Source organism: Homo sapiens, chromosome 10 (assembly GCF_000001405.40).
Source record: "Homo sapiens chromosome 10, GRCh38.p14 Primary Assembly".
In the NCBI taxonomy this organism is placed as follows: Eukaryota; Metazoa; Chordata; class Mammalia; order Primates; family Hominidae; genus Homo; species Homo sapiens.
In genome coordinates, this window is record NC_000010.11 from 123,073,975 (window position 1) to 123,089,262 (window position 15,288).

Sequence of the window (15,288 nt, forward strand, 5' to 3'; positions counted from 1 at the left end):
GGGTCTGTGCAAAAGGACATTAGACCACTGCTGGGTGCCCCAAACAATTGGTTGCAAGGTGCTCTTTATAAATCTACCGGGTATGGTTTTTTATTGTAGATTGCACAGAAAGGCCCCATGGTGGGCCAGGAAGGCCAGGGCTCAAACAGAGCTGGGCTGGACCACGCTGTGGGATGTCACCTTGGACAAGTTCTTTCTAGAATTCAAAGCTCAGTTCATTCATCGGTTAAATGGGTGGTTGTACCAGATCGTGGCTACGAAACTTCCCAGCCCTGACCGTCCAGAGGACTCCAAAAATGCTGGAAGGGACTGGAGAATGTGCCAACTCAGGGGCTTTCCAGCCTTGTTTTGCAGAGTGGTAAGTTTTGGACTAAAGAAACTGGGCCATGTGATTCAAATGCCCAGCAGCTTGGGGCTGTCACAGTGAGGGTGTGACTGCAGCCTGACCAGAGGCCAGGAAACGCCATCTGGCTCCCAGGCAGCTCTGTCCACCCTGTGGGGATGCTGAAGGCTCCCTACATCTGACCTTCTCTCTATAGGGAGGAGAAGGGGGCCCATGGTTGAGGCAGGCCAAGGAAGGGGCAGCCTCATTGCTTAGTTAATTTCATCTACTTGTCCATCCATCCACGGCTGCATTCACGTCTTGCGCGCTCAGGGAGCTCCTGCTTTTCCCTCAAGACTCCACTCTGTTTTTGCCCTGCTGTCCCCCTGCCCATCCCCAGGAATAATGAGGCCCACCTCCCCCTGCCTGAACCACCATCGTCACACAGGCCATCCCTCTACAGTGGCACTTGGAAGGCTTCACGAATGACAGTGAGTCTGTAGACCCCCGGAGGCAGGGCTTTCCGTCCCCCAGCACTTGGCATAGCAGGTGCTTAATCAAGGTTTGCGGAATGAATTAATGAATGAGGGGAAGAAGTGAGATGAGGAGGCATGGAGATGACATTCCAGGGGGAGGGGCAGTGGAGGCAAAGGCCAGTGGAGGGAAACAACTCAGTGTCCAGGGACCTGGGATTAATCAGCACTGATGAACATGGGGACACCCTAATGCCCCATTTTGTTCCTCATCTCACAGGTACTTGGGTATTTGCCTTAATATCTGTATTATTCATTGGACTGCGAGTCCCATAAGCCCATCTGACTATCCCCAGGGTTTTGCCTGTGACCTAGCACATAGTAGGCACTTAATAAGTGATCCTTAAATGGATTAATTGGATAAGGTAGGAGGGCAAAAAGATGGAAACTACAGGGCCCGTATGGCAGCTCCACAACCATCAGAGACCCCATGGCACGGCAGGTGCTTAACCAAGTTTTGCTGAATGAATTAATGAATGAGAGGAAGAAGTGAGATAAGCATATGTGGTGAGCAGGTGTGATGAGCAGATGGGCCCCTTAAAGGGTTGCTATAAGAAAGGCAGGATGCTCAGTTAAACTAGAATTTCAGATAAGCAATAAAAAGTTGTGTTTCTTTTTTGTTTTTTTTTTTGTTTTGTTTTCATTTTTGTTTTGAGACAGGGTCTTGCTTTGTCACCCAGGCTGGAGTGCAGTGGCGCAATCTTGGCTCACTGCAGCCTCGACCTCCCAGGTTCAAGCGATCCTCCCACCTCAGCCCCCCAAGTAGCTGGGACTATAGGCATGTACCACCACTCCTGGCTAATTTTTGTATTTTTTGTAAAGATGGGGTTTTGCCATGTTGCCCAGGCTGGTCTGGAACTCCTGGGCTCAAGTGATCCACCCACCTCAGCATCCCAAAATGCTGGGATTACAGGCATGAGCCACCGCATCCAACCAATAATGAATAAGTCTTTGATAACTATGTCCCAAATATTGCACAGGACGTATTTATTAAAAAATTATTCATTGTGTTCTGAAACTCAAACTCATGTTTTTGGTGTTTTTATTTATTTGCATATTTGTTTTTTGTATCTTATTTTTAAAGTTTGTTTCTTTGTTTATTTTTTACTAATCTGGCAACCTACCATTCCCTCTTTTCACTTAGCCATAATCATCCCTGGCTTTTATCATCAGTATGACTGTGACCTCAGAGTCACAAGATGGCTGCTGGAGCGCCAGCCTTCATGCTTGCGATTTAGGAAAGCAGAAGGATAAAAGGAGAAGGGACGAAAGGACACCTCTCTCCCATCTGAGTCAGCTCTCTGTAAGAGATTTCCTCCACTAAATATGGGTTTGTGCTAGATTTGTTCTTTGATAATAATAAGAAATTATTGTTTATTTTGTTAGATGTAAAAGGTATTATGGATATATGAGAAAATGTTCTACCTTTTTGGAGATGCATCCTAAAATATTTAAAGATAAGATACGATGTCTGTAATGTATTTTTAATTATTTTCCGGAAAAAAGGAAGCAAATATGGCAAAAAGTTAACAACTATTAAATCTGTATGAGGGGTATATATGATGCCAATTACCCTTGTCTCTGGACCTTTTTTATGCTTGAAAATTTTCTTTGTGGGTTTTTTGTTTTTTGTTTTTTTTTAGATGTAGTCTCACTCTGTTGCCCAGGCTGGAGTGCACTGGTGCGATCTTGGCTCATTGCAACCTCTGCCACCCGGTTCAAGTGATTCTCCTGCCTCAGCCTCCAGAGTAGCTGGGATTACAGATGTCCACCACCACGCCTGGCTAATTTTTGTATCTTTTTAAGTAGAGACGGGGTTTTGCCATGTTAGCCAGGCTGGTCTCGAACTCCTGACCTCAAGCAATCCGCCCACCTCAGCCTCCCAAACATTCTCTAATAGAAAGTTTTGAGCTGGGCACAGTGGCTCACATCTGTAATCCCTGCACTTTGGGAGGACAAGGTGGGAGGATCACTTGAGCCCCGGAACTTCAAGCTACAGTGAGCTATAATCGCACCACTGCACTCCAGCCTGGGAGACAAAAGAAGACTCCAACTCTTAAAAAAACAAAAAACAAAAATAAACAAAAAATAGTTTTCGTTTTGTTCTTTTTAAAAATTATTTTATTTATTTATTTATTTATTTATTTATTTATTTATTTATTTATGTTTTGAGACAGAGTCTTGCTCTGTCACCCAGGCTGGAGTGCAGTGGTGCGATCTTGGCTCACTGCAACCTCCACCTCCTGGGTTCAAGCGATTCTCCCACCTCAGCCCCCTGAGTAGCTGGGATTACAGGCACATGCCACCATGACCAGCTAATTTTTGTATTTTTAGTAGAGACGGGGTTTCGTCCTATTGGTCAGGCTGGTCTTGAACTCCTGTCCTCAGGTGATCCACCCACCTCAGCCTCCCAAAGTGCTGGGATTACAGGGTTGAGCCACCTCGCCCAGCCTGTTCTTGTTTTTTAAAGGACAGATTACCCATAATCTTGCCCAACATTTGATTTCTTCTCATTCCCTTACAGAATGGGAGGCTGGGAAAGGAAGTCTTTGGGCTGGGTATACTGATGCCTGATACAATCAACATTCAGTCAGTGAGGAGGAAGGGCAGAATGGTTGTCAGGCAGGAGCTCACAGCCTCGGCCCAGGGCTCAATTTCTCAACCCCTCTGCACAGAGGAGCAGGGGCCACGGTGCCTGAAGCGCTGCCTTGCCTTCCTTGTTGGAACCAGCCCCTCCTGATCTCACCCAAACTCCTAGAGAATTTCTTCCCTTAGTACGGTGACTAAGGCACAACCAACCCCTCACCCCAGGGAGAGGAGACTTGCTGAGCTCCCAGTCTGTGCATGGTACAGCTTGTATGATCTCTGTGTCATACAGGTACCCTGTATGATCTTTGCCAGGGTAATTTAACCTCCTTGGAGCCCTGTGATCACCTCTCTAAAGAATACACAGCCCAGCCCCTTCCTTCCCTCATTAGATGGAGTTTAATTTCCCAGCTTACTGGCTGGGGCTACTGTCAGGGAGAAAAATCCTTGAACAGAGATCCTGAGCTGCTGTGTCAGGTGAGGCAGCCTATGCCACTTGCTTTCCTTTCTGCCTTGATGCCCTAGTTGTCACCTGCCGGAAACTGATAGTACCTGGCGTAGTGTTCAGTGTATAGAGGAAGACCTTGAAGCCATGGATACATATACGTGTTATTGCACTCTACATATGTGGCACGTAGTAGGCCTGCTATGAAGATATGTGGGGAGAGCAGGTCCACTGGTCTGTCAACTGACTGATGAACGGATAGATGAAATGTGGCACATCCATGCAATGGTATATTACTCGGCCATAAAGAGGAATAAAGTACTGATTCATGCTACACAAAGATGAACCTTGAAAACAGCGTGCTAAGTGATAGGAGTCAGTCACGAAGGAGCACATACTGTTTGATTCCATTTAGATGAAATGTCCAGAAGGGCAAATCTATAGAGACAGAAAGTAGATTAGCGCTTGCCTAGAGTCAGTTGCAGGATGGAGGAGAAATGGGGAGTGATTGCTAATGGGTATGGGGTTTCTTTTTGGCGTGATAAAAATATTCTGAAATTGACTGTGGGGATGGTTGCACATATCTGCAAATATATGAAAACCAATTGAATTGTACACCTTGCATAGGTGAATTGTATGGTATGTGAATTAGAGCTCAATAAAGCTTTTTTTTTTTTTTTTTTTTTTTTTTTTTTTTTGAGACAGAGTCTTGCTCTGTTGCCCAGGCTGGAGTGCAGTGGTACGATCTTGGCTCACTGCAATCTCCACCTTTTGGGTTCAAGCGATTCTCGTGCCTCAGCTTCCTGAGTAGCTGGGACTACAGGTGCACCCAAAACACTGGGCTAATTTTTGTATTTTTAGTAGAGACAGGATTTCGCCATGCTGGCCAGGCTGGTCTCCAACTCCTGGCCTCAAGTGATCCACCCTCCTCGGCCTCCCAAAGTGCTGGGATTACAGGTGTGAGCCACCAGGCCCAGTCAATAAAGCAGTTTTTTAAAATGAAAAAATCCTGGCATGGTGGCTCACAACTCTAATCCCAACACGTTAGGAAGGCCAAGGTGGGCACATTGCTTGAGCCCAGGAGTTTGAGACAGCCTGGGCAACATGGTGAAACCTCGTCTCTATAGAGAATATGAAAATTAGCCTGGTGTGGTGACGCACACCTGTAGTCTCAGGTACTTGGGAGGCTGAGGTAGGAGGATCACCAGAGCCCAGGAGGCGGAGGCTGCATTGAACCATGGTCACACTGCTGCAGTCCAGCCTGGACAACAGAGCAAAAGCCTGTCTCAAATAAATAAATAAATAATAAAAGTTAAAAAATGGGAGATGTTTATATCCATAGCAACAATATGTTGCCCAGGAGGCCCTGTGGCCACTAGCGACCTGGAAAATTCCCAGCGGCAGCCGGAATTCCAGAAGCCAAGTCCAGCTAGAACCATGGGTAGGGAGCTGGGGGAAGAGCCCTGTGTGGCTTCTGCCAGCGGTGAATGACTCGAGCTAATGTGCCTCCACTTACATGTATTGATCGTTTACCTCCCTCTGTTCCCCACGCTAGATCTATGAGCAAGGAGAAAGGAAAAAGGAGTTCAGGTTTAAACTCTTATCACTAAAGTGAGTCTCCTTCTACATTAAAAAACTATCCAGACCCTGTGGCAGGAATGGGCTCTGTTCTTGGGGCATAAATTTGTGTGTGTGGAAAAAAGACTTATTGGTGAACTTAGCAGTATTTTTCGTTGAACTGGCAGTTGCTAACCATTACACCAGTATTTATTTGATTCTTAAAGAGTACAAAACCATGGACCACAAATAAAGAAGATGGAGTAATAGTTTGTGGCTGGGCCACTAGCTTTAAACTTGAAATGAAGTGTCCAGTTTTGAGTTACTGTGTCCAACCACCATTTGTACAGTTTGAAAAGTGGGGGCATTTTTCCAGCCTGTCAGTGTGACTGTAGTTCATTCCCATGAATGATATCGCTGAAGGAGCAGTTGTTCTGCTATGAGCACCTCACTCATGACCAGAATATATTAAGTGTATTAATCTGTGCCTCCCGGCGTAATTTAGGAAGGCCCTCTATTTGACACATTCCTGTACATCCTTGTTTTATTGCCTGCTCCCGCAGGTAACAATGTCTCAAAAGTCTTGCTCCTGAATGAAGTTAAAATTACATGTCACCCAATAGCATATGCAGTTTTGTGGCTTATTTTGCTGTCAAAATTACCACCGTGCAACAACATGAGGCGTTAATGGGGACGTAGCGTGATTTACCTCTCGGGCTCTGGGCTCGGTGGTGAGGGAGGACTCCTTCGTCCACGTGGCCACATGCGAAGGGAAGCCCTGGTCACCTCTGCCCTTCCAATCTGCCTTCAGTACCCAAATTGTGTCTCTGACCATGGCAGGTCTTTCCAGAGATGAAAATAAGAGGTACTTGAGATTCTCTGCCAAATAATTGCTAAGCTTGTTTTAAGTCATGAAGGGAAAACTGCAAATTTCAAGCAGGTTAGTCTTCCACCAACAAACAGCATTCATAACTTGTTTCCCAGTTAGACTGGTGACTACTATCCGTTAAGAATGTGCCCAAGACTTAATGCAGAAATGTCTTAATTTTAAGGCTAATGGGAACAGCTCTGACTTACAATTTGACGCAATGTTTTTCTACCCTGCCAAGCCTATGTCTTTGGAATGTTTATTATTTTAGGTAACAAGAAAGCCACAAAGCCAGGTTGCATCTTTTAGTGAGATTATGGATTCCCCATCCAGGAAGAGTATGGAATGTAGCTTAAGCCAGCCTGCGAGCCTGGACTAGAGGCTGCGCTAGGAGGTTAATGAGTCCTAGGTACTTTTGCTTGTGTGGGTCCCTTCCTCCATAAGAAAAAATATATATATTTTATAACTTCTTGGGTATCAAGACAAATATAATCAATTGGGCATGGTGGCTCATGCCTAAAATCCCAGCACTTTAGGAGGTCAAGGCAGGAGGATCACCTGAGGCCAAGAGTTTGAAACCACTCTGGACAACATAGCGAGACCGTGTCTCTTTAAAAAAATAAAATTATTGTTTAAAAACGATATATTTTCCAAGTGGGAGAACAGAAAAAAATAAAAAATACAAAAATAAAAATAAAACAAAAAGATGGATATAATCTAGGCTGGACTTATTATTATATAGACATTACTATTATATTCATTTTTAATTTCTGATTTTAAAAGAAATGAAAATGAAAACATTTCTGTGGGCCCTAGGCACTGTGCCTGCTGTGCCTGATGGGTATGGCTGCCCTGACCTGTGCTGCAGGATTGAAGTTTCCAATCTTTCCCCGGGAGTTTATTTCAAGGCCAGGACAATCTGGCCAGGGCACCTCATGGAGGGACTCAGCCAAAAGGCATCCCACTTCCCCAACTCGGCACACAGTGTTTGCCAGGCCTCCCCCAGGGGCGACCCCAGGGCCTCTTCTTTCCCTCTCTCGTTGATTTGTCTTTATTTTAAATAAATAGGCCAAGGCCTCTGCTATGGATTTTCCCATGCATTTGAGAGCTGGGGACAATTCATGAATGTGAGAGCAGAACGCTCCACCTGCGGGTGTGGCTGGCCACGATGATGGGAAACGCGTTAGTAATGGGCCACCATGGCTGACCCCCGACCTCATCGACCGCCGCCCCTCTCCCCAGCCAGGTTCTGCTGTCCAGGCAGCTGCAGAGGAGTTTAAAGGGCAGCCATGGTCCCTGGTCAGCCAGCCTGCCATTAATAACGTTTGCATCTGTGACAATGACAAACCTGCAGTACTTGAGGAGAGTTTATTAAGGTCAGTCTATAAATAAGAATTAAAAATTTTAAAAAATCGGTTGACACAGATGAACAGACAGATGAAGAAAGTGATTAGGTGAAACAATAAATATAAAAGTGGATAAGGAGCTCCCAGAGCTGGCCTGGAAATCAGAGCCCAGCCCAGTCTTCCTCCGACCTCGCCTGAAGTTTAGATTTCATGAAGACACTCAGAACTTGTAGGTTTTGTGAATCTAGGCCCTGGCTAATATTTTGTCATTTAATGCCTGTTCTCTCAGCTAATAAAAAGAATTGCAGCCATTTCTCTATGTCAAGCCCATAACTGAGAGCTGGTAAAATTTAAATGTCTCATCTGTCCTCCAGCTTGCATGCAGATGCCCTTCCCCGGGAGCTTGGCTCCAGGCCTGTGGGCTAGTGACAGTCCCCCGGCTTGCCCAGCTGGCTCTTGCTGTCTCGGGATGGACTGCCTGAGCAAACTGGCCAGGGGGATTGGAAGCAAGAAGTGTGTCTTCCTGTAGCTTTGTCCCCCATCTCAGAGAGTGGGATTCTCCCCCGCAGTCCACAGGTCTTTGGGGTTTTGGTGCATACCATCCCAGTCCACTTTCTCAACGAAGTGGCTCCTGCTCTGTAGGCCTTTTCAACGATCGTGGTGATTTTTAATCGTATATTTAAGCAACTCTTTTCAAAGTTATTTTGCCTCCGTTAGCTCATTTGGCCCTCACAAGAAGCCCAGGAGAGACTCAGAGCAAATTTGATTATCTCATTTGGAAGATATACGGGGCACAGAGAGGTCAGGTTAGTCTGAGGTCGCTCCGCGTGTAGGTGCAGAACCAGGTCACTGTCCACTAAATGTACGAAGAGAGGGAAAGAAAGCAGTGGGTAGGAAGTCCAAGTGCTGCAAAGAAATGAAACTTAGCCAGCTTTCCACCCACCAGGAATGCATATTAGCATGAAAGTTAACTTGTCCTCACTTCAGTGACAACCAGGGAGCACTATGGTAGCTCTGCAGGGCTGTCAGGCCAGAAACAACCTTCAGAATCATCATATTATTAGGATGTGGTGCTTTATTCCAAATAAAGGAGTAAATGTCACTGTGTCTCATCCTTCAGAAAAGACAATTAGATGGAAATACTCAACTCATTCTCAGTTAAGCAGAATTATCAACAAGCCAGAATGTCACAATAAGAAAGCAGGCAGTAGACAGGATGGAGAGTTCTCCTAAATGCTCTGCCCTCTGTTAGTCCTTAGATTCCCCATGACTCAATTCAAGCTTGAGGGTCTTAGGGGTGCAACACAGATTGGGAGCTGTACAGAGCTCAGAACCACAGGCAAGAAAGAAGGAAGACTTCAGAGCTGGAGTCTAAAAGAGAGGATTCTGCCATTCAATTCCGCTTATCAAATGTCTGGTATTATGTCCCCCAAGCCAGACCCCAGACCAGGAGCACCAGAGTGGGGACAGAGTGAAGTGACCCCAGTCCCTGAGCTTCAGGTGGAGGACAGGCAAGTATGTGACTAATTGTGAGATGCAATGTGAGAACTGTGTCAGTAGTGTAGACACCATTCTGCCATGAAGATCTCTACCACAGGAAAGGAATTCTAGGAAGGCTTCACAGAGCAGGTGTCCCAAAAGAACTAAGCTTGAAGGAAAAGTGGGAAAATCCCATATGGGAAAGGAAATGGCATGCCAGGTGCTATAGGCTGTGTCCCCTCAAAATTCATATGTTGAAGCCGTTACCCCCAGAACCTCAGAATATGACTGTATTGGGAGGTAGGGTCTTTAAAGAGGTGATAAAATTAAAATGAGGTCATTAGGGTGGGCCCCAAGATAATCTGACTGATGTCCTTATCAAAACAGAAGATTAGAACACAGATGGGTACATAGGAAAGACCTTGTGAAGACCCAGAGAAGACGGCCACCTACAAGCCAAGGAAGGAGGCCTCAGAAGGAACAACCCTGCTGACACCTTGATCTTGGACTTCCAGCCTCCAGAACTGTGAGGGAATAAATTTCTGTCATTTAGGACACCTAGTTGGCAGTTATGTTTTACAGCCACCCTAGCAAACTAATAACACCAGGAAAGCAAAGAGCCGGGCACAGTTCTGGGAGTGGGAATGTGTCTGAGTGTTTAAAGCATGGCGGTGCTTTGAGGAGTCCAGGTGGCCAGAAGGGGACAGAACGTGCTTGCTGGAGGCACCAGGACGCCAGAGTTCTTGACTCATTACCAACCGTTGTCCTCATGGGAGTGCCACGGCAGCCTTTCCTGGCTGTGCCCTGCTCCACTCCTGTCTCCCAGGGGAAGGTGGGCACTCATATCCTTTGCTTTGCTTTAGTGCAAACTTAAAGGCAGCTTCCAGCTCAGAATCTCCAACTCCTTCCCTGGGGTCTCCCCAGTGGCAACCACGTGCCTCCCACATGTTTGTGGAGGACGGAGCCAACAGACACCTGTGTGAGTTCAGGGTTGCCTGCTCTCTTCCAACACCCTTGGCTTGCTAGCTTTCCACCCTAGGAGCTTCCCAGATCTCCCCTAGTAGATGGCTGCTGAGGGAAACCACTCAACTCAAAGCCACGGCCAGCTGGAAGATGTTTTGGAAACTCTCAGCTGACATTGCAGCCTCTGTGGTGTGGGAGAATGTGGTAGGCTGAATAATGGCCCCTCAAAAATATCAGGCCCTAATCCCTGGAACCTATAAAATTTTCATATACAGAGAATCTTTGCAGATGTGATCTTGACATGTGGGATTATCCTGGATTCTCACAGTGGGCCCTAAATGCAATCACATGTATCCTTATAGGAGGGAGGGAGAGGGAGATTTTATACACACAGAGGAGAAGGCACTGGGAAGACAGAGCCAAGAGACTTGAAGATGCTGGCCTTGAAGACAGTGTGATGCAGCCACAAACCGAGGAAAGCCAGCAGCTACGAGAAGCTGGGAGCGGCAAGGAAGACTTCTCCCCAGAGTCTCCGAGGGAACAAGGCCTTACCCACACCTTGATTTGATACTCATTTCAAACTTCTGGCCTTGGTAATGGTGAGAGAATAATCCTGTTTTAAGCCACCACATTCCTGGTCTTCTGTTACAGCAGCACAGGAAGCTCATGCAGAATGGCAGGCCAGGGATCCAGGTGGGGCTCTGACACCTGCTGGTTCCAGGCACTTTATGCTTTCTCCGATCTCAGTTTCCTCCCCTGAGCTCCCATTGTGTAATGCATCATTGCCATTGTGACAGCCAATCCTGGCCTGCCTGCATATGCATCCAGGTCAAGGGGCACCCACAGCACTCTAACCAGGCCTGGCAACTGCAGCGTTGCCCCACACGCAGCAGAATATCATGAACTTCGGCCTTGCTATCTGAGAGTCTGAGCAGCCCAGATCATGGGTGTTCGCCTCGACGTTCCCATTTGTTGCACCCAATCTGATGATAAACGTGGAGACCCCAGGAACACTGGCCTGGAAAGGCCCTGAAAACTGAGAGATGTAGCTGAGGCAAGAGGAAAGAAAGGAAATGGCATTTTCCCTCCAAAAGGCCTAGGCCTTCTTGAATGAGCCATAGCCAGGGAGCCCCAGTGTGTGCCTGGGAGGTGTCCACCAGCAGTAATCCCAGAGGCCATTGCCCCTGGTTTCACCCACAGCAATGGGCAGCAGTGATGGGGGCCAAGTCACTGAAAAAGAAAGGGAAAGTGGAAGTGGGGCTAGGGGTAGGAAACGTGTACATCTGGGTGGGTTTGCCAGGAGATGGGGAGGCTTCATGTTTGAAGGGAACGTCCAGATGCCACCTGCTCAGGGGAGCAGGCTGCTCTGGAGCCCTTACTGCAAGCCTGGGAATGGGTCCTGGCCAGAAAACATGCAGGTGTTGCAACCAGGTGCAGGGAAATCTTCCTACAGACACACCTGTGCTTCCTGGCAGCACATCCTCTTGGGGTCCTCATCTGGCTCGCAGCCACCCTCCTCCTTGATCTCACTAACTGCCAAGTCACCCTCTATGATATCATCCTCACTCTTCTTCACTGCTCCTAACCCAGTCTGAAATCGTGTACTTTGTCGTGATTTATTGTCGATCTCTCCTCATAAGAATTTAAGTGCCTGGGCCAGGCACGGTGGCTCCTGCCTATAATCCCAGCACTTTGGGAGGACGAGGTAGGCAAATCATGAGGTCAAGAGATCGAGACCATCCTGGCCAACATGGTGAAACCCTGTCTCTACTAAAAATACAAAAATTAGCTGAGCATGGTGGTGCATGCCTGTAGTCTCAGCTGCTTGGGAGGCTGAGGCAGGAAAATCACTTGAACCATGGAGGCAGAGGTTGCAGTGTGCCAAGATCATGCCATTGCACTCCAGCCTGGGTGACAGAGCGAGACTCCGTCTCAAAAAAAAAAAAAATTTTAAGTTCCTGGATAGACCAGGCTGTGACTTCAGTGCCTCGTCTCTGCCACAGAGAACTCACTCAGGAAATATTGAACGAACGGGTGAATGAGTGAGTGAATGAGTTGATGAATGAGTGAGTGAATGAATGAATGAGAGAGTGACGCATGAATGAGTGAATGGATGAGTGAGCAAATGGATGAATGAGTGTATGATGGATGAATGAGCAAATGAATGAATGAGTGACTGAGTGATAAATGAATAAGTGAATGGGTGAATAAGTGAGTGAATGGATGAATTAATGAATGGATGGGTGAATGACCGAATGGGTGAATGAGCGAATGGTGAATGAGCGAATGGGTGAATGAGTGAGTGAATGGATGAATTAATGAGTGAGAGAATGGATGAGTGAGTGAGTGAGTGAGTGAATGGATGAATAAATGAGTGGGTGAATGGATGAATGAATGAGTGACTGAATAAATGAATGAGAGAGTGGATGAATGCGTGAATGAATTAATGAGTGATCAATGAATGAGTGAATGGATGAATTAGTGAATGGACGGATGAATGAGTGAATGTGTGAGTGAGTGAGTGAATGGGTGAGTGAGTGAGTGAGTGAGTGAACGGGTGAATGAGTGACTGAGTGAATAAATGAATGAGTGAGCGAATGGATAAATTAGTGCATGAGTGAATGAGAGGGGGCACTCAAGCCCCCACACCGATATTCACAGATATTCCAGAAGCTCCACGGAGCCTCTGGGAGCTCAGAGGAGTGAGGGAGGTTCCTGTCCTCCTCTCTCTGATCTCCACCCTGAGGTCCAGGGCCAGGGAGACTCATCAGCTGCCATCGTACCACAGGCAGGTTATGGTGATGGCCGTGCCTGGGGGCCAGACAGGGTCACGGAGGTGGAGGTGGGAGAGATGGCCCTGGGGGACTGGGGTTCAGTGGTTTCTCACAGTGTTCAAATCAAAGCCCAAAGGCAAGGACTTGGGCTTCTTTCAAAGAATGGGAGCCTTATTTAATCCATAATCCCACCATAGCTGATGATGCCTGCAGACCCCACTCTCAGCTCCACGTGGCTGCCCCCCTCTCTCTCGTGGAGCCAGATGTCCCACGGTCCCACCCACCTCAGGGGCATGAAGGTGCCCCTTTCATTTCTTCTCTACATTCCACTCTCTCAGTGACGTTTTAATCCATTCAAACTGGAAGGAAATCTTTGCTAATCACCCTCTGAAAATCTTTAGTTGTTAAAATTCTTTTTGTTGTTGTTGTTGCTGCTTAAAGTTTCATTATTTTTAAACAATCCAATTTTACGGGCATTGCATCCTTAATGTGCCCTAATTATGGGGGATGTTTTGGTAAAGCAGTGGGATGCTTCATTCTGGAAGTTTCACCTTCTCCAGGAAGGGGCTGCTGAGGGTTTTTGGGGATTCCTACATCGTAATACATCATAATTGTGCATATTTTTACTAGGGGCTGTGAAGATGCTTTGTTACAAATAATTAAATTCAGCACAACCGGAACTGCACCCAGAAAACGCAAACCTTGCATAAAAGCAATAAAATTAGCAGCTTCCGATGAATCTTCAGAACTACCTGTGTTAGAATCCAACCAATCCCTTCTCTTCAGTCAGTCCCCAAGAAGGAGCAGAAGAATGCAACTCCCATGGCTCCATGTGTGTGGGATGGAGTCAGGAAACCTATGTTTGACTTCTGGCTCTGCTTTTTAACCAGAACTGTGGCCTTGGGTGAGTTCTTTTCTCCCTGAGCTTTGGATTTCTTATCTGTAAAACGGAGAAAATAGCAATGCAAGCTGTGAGAGTCCAATGAGATAATAGATCTAAACATGCCTTAGAAACTATGAAGGGCCAGATATACTACTCAGAGACCCAGCCTCTCCTGAAGAATGAATCGGAGGAACTGGAGGCCTTCTTACCCAAAACTGCTGCCTGCCAGCCAAGCCAGATTGTTCCATCCACCACAGGCACTCTGTCCCGCCCTTGGCCCTAAACAAACCTAACATTCCTGCTGCTATTTTGGGGCCCCCACTACCCTCAGGGCCCCAAGGTCAAACAAGCTGGCATCTCTATTTTCACTCCTGTTAGGAATTGGAGAGCCATAAAATGGATATTTCAGAAAGCCCAGTGCATGGGTCATGGGGCCAATACCAGCACTAGCAAGCTTCTTTAATTTTACTTAAAGGTAAAATTCAGTCACATAATGGGTGATTCTTTGAAATCCACCACTAATGTTTTTGGTGAATTCTTTTATGAAATAATCGCATAATTTCAGCAGGTTGCCCAGGGTCTAGAAAATAAATAAATAAATAAATAGTCATATAAGCCTTCGATCCACATTTCTTAAATAAAATGATTGACCGGAGGCATTTAAAAAACACAGTTTGAGAGTATCCATGGAGATTTGGTTGGAAAATCTTAAACTACAAATTCTACAAATGGCTCCTCCTTCCTTAAACCTGAGCCTGGTCTCTGTTCAAGCAAGAAGGCAGGATCTCAGCGTCTGCACTGCAAGCAGTCCGAATACCTGAGTGGGGACTCTGTCAACTGGCCCATTCTCCATGTGTCATGGAATTCTCAGCCCGTGCGGATTTATCCTCAGCCTCAGACAGGGCGTTTTGGGTTTAAATATGCATATGCATATTGACAGGGCCACTTTCCTTAAAGAAGGGGAGGGCACAGAACAGGCCATAGCCATCTTTGCCATCTATGGGTGCCCATGTGCCCGCCATCTGGAGTCATACTGGAGCCATGGTCACCTGGGCATACTGGCAGATTGTAGAAACACATGTTCCACTGCTTTCTTTCGATAGTACCTGCCGCTTGTTTATTCTTTGGTGTGAATAAAGATAACTTTTGTTCAGAGAGTGAGACAACTTACCAGAGCCCCCTTCAGATGCCATGAGACGGGCCTGGGGCCTTCTGGAACAATGAGGGGACACAGGCCATCGTCCTGTTGAACACTCTGGGGAGCCACTCTGGGGAAATGCTGCTGTTGGAATATGACCAGGGCCCACCGAGAGAAGCCTTGATGCTGAAAGCAAGAGTTACTCCTGCCATCAGGAGGGCAGATGGAATGGACAGGGTGGGCTCTGGGGTGGGGGTTCTGCTGAGGGGTTTCCTGCCCTGGCTGCTGTACTCGGCCAGTGGATGCCATTGCCAGATCTCCTGCTCCAGAAGCAGCAGCTTTCCCCCATGGTAGAGTTGGTTCCCAATTCCCTCAAGACAAAAGGCACTATGGC